We start from the raw sequence: 6000 nt of genomic DNA, 5'->3' as shown, positions 1-6000 counted from the left end.
ACAGAACTGAAGTCAAACTCTAGCATGTGCATAAGTGCAGTTACCCAACTAGCAGCTCTTTTTTTTTTTTTTCAGCCGTGTAAGTATCACCTTGTTTGAGTCAAGCCACTGAGAACCAGGTGCTCAAAGGTCTCCTGGGAGAGCTAGAAGGATCCTGGGCCTGGCCTTGCTCGGTGGAGCGGAGGCTGCAGAGCTTCCCCGTTGTTGAATCTCCCATGACCGGCCCCCACAGCCTGCAGTAGATGACCAGGATAACTCGATGATCAAGTTCATAAAAAGCGCAACTGGCCTCTCTTCTGGCCCCAGTGGAAGTGCTCTTACAGCACCAAGGTGGCTGGGGGTGGGCCCCTTAGTGAGCAGGGCTTGGAGGTGGGGGCAGTGGGGAGGACGCTGCCCCACTGTCCCCACTGCCCCCTGACCCGCAGGCTCACTGTGCTGCTTCCATTTTCCTGGCAACACACTCCCCTGCCTCCTTGCACTATGCTATGTCCAAGTGTTTATTTTCAGAAAAAGGATCCCTGTAAGATGCACCTGAGTATGTGAAGTAGGCAGACAGAGAAAGCGAAGGGAGAACTGAAAACGGGGATACAGGAACATACCTGGTACTCACTGGTGGGTCCCAAAAGGGAGAATTGGAAACAGGGAACAGGAACATGCCTGGTGCTCACTGGTGGGTCCTGAAAGGGGAAAACTGATGATGTCTAGTTGGTCTTCAGCAAACTGGTGTTTAATTCCCCTTTGGTGCCAGAGAGGGTGATCCCCATAGGTAGCTTGGAGGCTTTTTGAGATGCCAGTAAGAGCTGTGGACACTCTTGTAGAAAAAGGAGTACACATACACAATTTCAGGAGCACTAAAGGCCCCCGGCTCTATCTGGCTTTAGAAACATTGCATTTGAAAGAAGAAAAGGGGTTGTCACCTGTCATGCAAAATGAACCACACCAAAGGCATCCAACACTGTCGACTTGTTGTCTTTTAAATATTTGTCTCGTTTAATGAAATTATGACATTTACCATTAGAAATAACCCCAAGAATGCCAATACTTTCTATGTATCTATCAATTCTTTATCCGTTTGACAGAACAAAAGGTGCTTGGAAAAATAATTCTATACCCCTCAAACATAAAGAACATGAAAAGCCAGGAAAAGGTCTCTTGTGTGTGTAGGTGGGATTACTGCGGAGCGAGACAAACTTCTTCTAACATCATGAAAGAGGTTTTCACCTTTATTAAATTTCTTTAACTTGTTCCAGAAACCTCCCCAGTATCGCTGCTAAAATTATCATAAAGAACTACGACTACTTACTGCTATGCCGAGATATTTACATGCACGATTGAGATTCTTCTCAGCTCCCATATGTAACTTGATGCCCAGGGGTTGACTCACCCAAGCCAAAATTTGAACATGGAACTTCCTGAAATCCCCCCTGAAGCCTGTCCTATCCTAGTCCTGCCGTTGGTATTTTTTTCTAATCGACATGTAATAATTGTACCTATTTATGGGGTACACAGTGATATTTTGATACATGGATCCAAGGGGTAATGATCAATTCAGCGTCATTAACATATCCATCACCTCAAACATCTGTCATTTCCGTGTGTTGGGAACATTCAAAATCCTCTCTTCTAGCTGTTTGAAAATACACGCTCAGTTATTGTTAAGTAGCCTTTGGTATTTTTTAATCTAATTAAGTTGCTTGTGAGGCTTTCAGGCAGCAGGAGGCAGCCAGGAAGCAGAGCCTGTGGCCTCAGGTCCAGGAGCTGAGCCTTGGATTGAAGGGGAGCCAGGGCTGCTGGGGGCAGGGGACCTTGCAGAGAGAGCAGGGACTGACCCTTGCAGGGGAGTTGGCCTGGCAGCAGCCACCCTCCCACACCTGCCTCCTCTTTTGGGAGGCTTCTGCGGTCAGCCGTCAGCCGTGGCCCGCAATCAAGGCAGTGGGCGGGCCTGTGGGAATGCCGGCCATGTGAGCGCACCTGTGCCGTCCTCCCAGCTGTGTACTTCACAACAGGGCTGCTGTCAGCAATGGCCAAGTGCTGCACACCACCCACCCACTCTCCATGGTTCTGTCACATCTGCTGGCACCCCCATCTGGGTTGAACTGCTTTATTTATTTTTATTTAAAAATGGACACCAGAATTCTTTATGTCTGGGAATGAGCCAAACTGGCCCAGTGTTGAGTGCAGAAATATTCCATCTTCCTTCTGTGCCCAGAATTATTTTTGTTTTCTTCGATACCCAACCTAGATACGGCTACAGCAAGGAAATCGTTTGAGTTTCAAAACCAAAACTCCTTTCCTGTTTATCTGTGTTGAAAAAAAAATCCACCATCATTGATCACGAGGCCAGTTTATCTCTGTGGGTGGTGTTCGATCCGTTTGCTTTTTCATCTGGTGCCTGCTCCTAATATTGTACCAGAGGAAGCAGCCATTATATTTTGGAGCCAAGAGGAGCTAATTGATACTGTTATTATAATTAATGCTAGTCCTGACTCAGGAGGGACCTGGCGGTGGAAAGCCTTTGAGATCTTTGACCTCAGCACCATCTGAGTGGGAATCCCAGCCCGGTCACTTAGGAGTTAGGGGCCACAAGGAGCCTCACAGGGCCTCATTGTCCACCATGTGAAGTACAGTGGGCCAGGCCCCCAGCCATGGGCAGTCACAGTGGGTGTGCAGGCACAGGGTGCTGGTGGCCCTTCCTGATGCTCTGTTCATCTCACATGCTCACCGGCTTGCTGTGTGTCTTTGTCCACCAGGATAGAAGCTCATGAGGGCAGGGGCTTCTGCCAGTGTTGTTCATTGCACTATCTCCAGAGTGTGGCCTGGCACAGAAGGATATACTCAAGCATTTGTTGAATAAAGGAATGAATGAGTGAATGAATGGACAGCAGGGAATATTTTGGACGGCAGCCTTTTCAAAGGACGTTCCCTTCATGATCAAGGCAAGGGGGATGCCTTAGAACAGATGCCCTGTGGACCAGAAGGGAGTATCCAGGTTTTAGAAGAATACTGCACCTGAGGCTTTGAGATTTGGGGCAGCAGAGGGTGGAAGTTGCTGGAAGGAGGCTGAGTAAAATGACATAGCTCCTGAACATGGGCAGGTCCCCAGAGCAAGAGTTCGAATGGGGCCCACATGGTAAAGATCTTCATATTTAAAAAATGACACATTTTGCTTATACATTGTTGAGTAAAATGGTTTCTCTCCTACTACCTTGACCTTGATGGCTAGGTTCGAATTTGGAATTCAGACTCCTTGAGACTTCAGGCCAGCAGAAGGCCTTGGAGGAAGCTGCTTCCAGCCCCTGCTGCCCTCGGCCTCCCTTCCCCCTCTCACATCTCCTCTCCTCCCTCCCTGGACTTCACTCTTCCCTGTCAGGGTGCTCCACCCACAGGGGTGGGCCTTGGGCCTCCCCAGGCTCTGGGATGTCCAGGGGATCAGACTTGGGCCCTGGAAGTAGGTTTGGAGACATTTAGGCTAGGAATTCTGGGGGCTTGGGTACAAGGCGTGGATGGGATCAGGTCTCCCTGGGAAGGCTCGTGCCCTCCCCCATCGACTCTCCTGTCCCTCTCTTCATGATAGGAGTGCTGGACCCAGGACAGGGGCCCCCTGGTCCCATCAAAGGGCTGTGCTGGTTCAGGGAATACCCTTCCCCTTATGGGCTGTGACAAACAAAATCATCTTAAGGGGAAGCCCCTTGTCATGGGGCAGGAAGCAGGCTGCACAGGGCAATTTCTGCTTCCCTCTGATAGGAAGGGTTGGGCTGACACTGAGCTAGGGTGGCCATGCCTCGCCCTGACCTCAGGCCCATGGGCCCCGTGGATGAGCAGGGGCATGCAGGACAGGCCTGCAGGGCAGGGCAGGGCAGTAGGGTTTTCATCGGCAAAGCCCCGTGATCCTCACAGTAGCCCCAGGAGTTGGACCAGCCTGGACCCTTACCCCATTTTACAGGTGAGGAGACAGAGGTTCCAGAGGCTGGCAGGGCTCGGCTAGGATTGCTTTTGCAGAGAAGAGGTTCAAGGCCTCATCCAAAGGTGTGCAGCTAGTAGGAGGCCGGGCAGGTCATGAATTGGCAACTTCTCATTCCGAGTCCAGGAGCCTCTTCCTTACACCAGCCCTTGGGAAGAGTGGCCTTCCCCAGGCCGGTGGTCAGAATGGTTCCTGCCTGGCTCTGGGGGCGGCCTGGGCTCTGGTCTATCAGTCTTAAGAGTGGGGACAGCCATGTGTGCTGCCCTAGCTGGCCTGACTCTACGGCTTTGGGTGCCCAGGAAGCTCTGGTATTCTTGGACGGAGCCCCTCCAAGCCCCTAGACTTGTGAGTTAGCCCAGGACTGCAGCTTGGCAAGGCTTCCTGTGCCTGGCCCATGACTTCTCAGAGGGACTCCAGGTCCTGTTTAGGCACAATTTTAAGGCCCCTCTTGGGTCCTTGAGTTCTCTGGGCCTCACTTGTCTCCAGGGGCCTTGGGTTCTTACTTGTGAAGCACCCAGGTAGCTGCTACCCTCCTGCATCCGCGATCCCCTGGAGGTGATGACAGACTCCACATGGCCACTCTCATACTCTGGTGGCTGAGGCTGCACTAGGCTTGGGGGGCCCCTGACCCCTGCCCCTCCAAGGCCAGGGTGAAATGCCTCAGAGGGGGATCTGTGTCCCCTGTAGCTACCTGGAGAGGCTAGATGACCCCCTGGGAAGTATGGGTGTCACTGCCTGTGGGGTGACTGTGACTAATCGAAGGTGGGAGATGAGGGAGCTGGCAGACCACTTCCTCCCTTGGCCTCCTGGGCAGGCTCTAGGGCAGGTCTCTGTGCAGCCTGTTTCCAGGGGCCCCACGTGGCCCAGGGACCCTTAAATCTCTTGGTGGCTTGGGAAGCAATGACCACGTGTTTACACACCGACCTTGTGCTTGCTTTCAATCTTTCCCTTTCCTCTCATTGTTTCTGCCCAGGGATTGGATCTTTCAATAAAACGTTAGCATCTAAGTCGGCCTCAGTTTCTGCTTGGTGGGGAATCTGGGCTAAGTCAAGTCTGCAGGTAGCTGCTGCCACCTGGGTTTTCTCATTCTGCAGACAATTCTCCACTCCGCTCTTGCTCTGGCACTTTTTAATTTTTCCCAGCATTCATAAACATTTGTCAACTTTTCTTCTACTCTGACTTCCCTGGTGAAAAACAACAACAGGGAGCCATGGAATGATAGATCCTCAAATGGAAACCCTGAGCCTCACCAGCTTCTGTGGAGGGGGTGGATATGTCCTGGTCCTCGGGAGAATGGCCTCTGTTGGATGATTGTCTGTGTTTGAATCCCAGTACTTACTGTGTGACCTTGGGGAAGCTACTTAATCCTTCTGGGCTTTACAGTCGTCTTCTGGAAAATGCAGACATTGACAATGTTTGTGTCATAGGATAGTTGAGCAGAGTAAATGAAATAAGAGTAAATGAGAGAAGATAGCCAAACACACAGTAAGTGTGTGATAAACGTCAGTTATCACTTGGAGCTGCTCAGTGGAAGTCTACCCTCCTTGACTTAATTTCTCTTGAAATAGTTAATAATTGTTACCATTTGTTATCTTCCATATGCCCATAACTTTGCCCAAGCTCTTTCACTTGACTCTTTGGCATTTAACAGTGAGGAGCCTGAGGCTTAAGGTCCCCTGGATGGTGAATGTCTTGAGTTGGAAGCTGTACGCAGGTTTGCCTGATGCAGAAGCCTATATTCCTTCCACTCCATGATGCTGAAACAGGTTTTCATTCTTCCCTTTCTCCCAGGAACACCAGCCCCATCTTTTCACCATGGAGCTTCCAGAGCTGACTTTGAAGTATAAAGAGAAAGACCGGATGTTGGGCCACAGTAGAGGGCTTCCACCAAAGGAGGGGTCTGGGGGCAAAGCAGGCAAAGAGGCAAGCTCCAGGCAGGGGCTGCCAGCAAGCAGGCTTCTCTCGATGGGTACAACAGTGCTGTAAAGCTGACAAACAGAGTTTGGCTTCACTTGAAGGTGTGAAAAGAACAGCCTGAC

The 6000-nt window shown here is 50.8% G+C and overlaps 1 long non-coding RNA gene across 2 annotated transcripts in view; it reads left to right on the top strand.

Annotated features, from left to right (window-relative positions):
• Positions 1–3757: 3757 nt before the first annotated feature.
• Positions 3758–6000, top strand: part of LINC00299 (long intergenic non-protein coding RNA 299) — a 320649-nt gene continuing 318406 nt past the window's right edge. For both annotated transcript variants that reach the window (NR_034135.1, NR_152741.1), the window contains exon 1: positions 3758–3943. This is a non-coding gene — a long non-coding RNA (long intergenic non-protein coding RNA 299). The remainder of the gene's footprint in view (positions 3944–6000) is intronic.

This window comes from Homo sapiens, chromosome 2 (genome assembly GCF_000001405.40).
Source record: "Homo sapiens chromosome 2, GRCh38.p14 Primary Assembly".
Lineage (NCBI taxonomy): Eukaryota > Metazoa > Chordata > Mammalia > Primates > Hominidae > Homo > Homo sapiens.
This window is presented reverse-complemented; position numbering and strand designations above follow the sequence as displayed.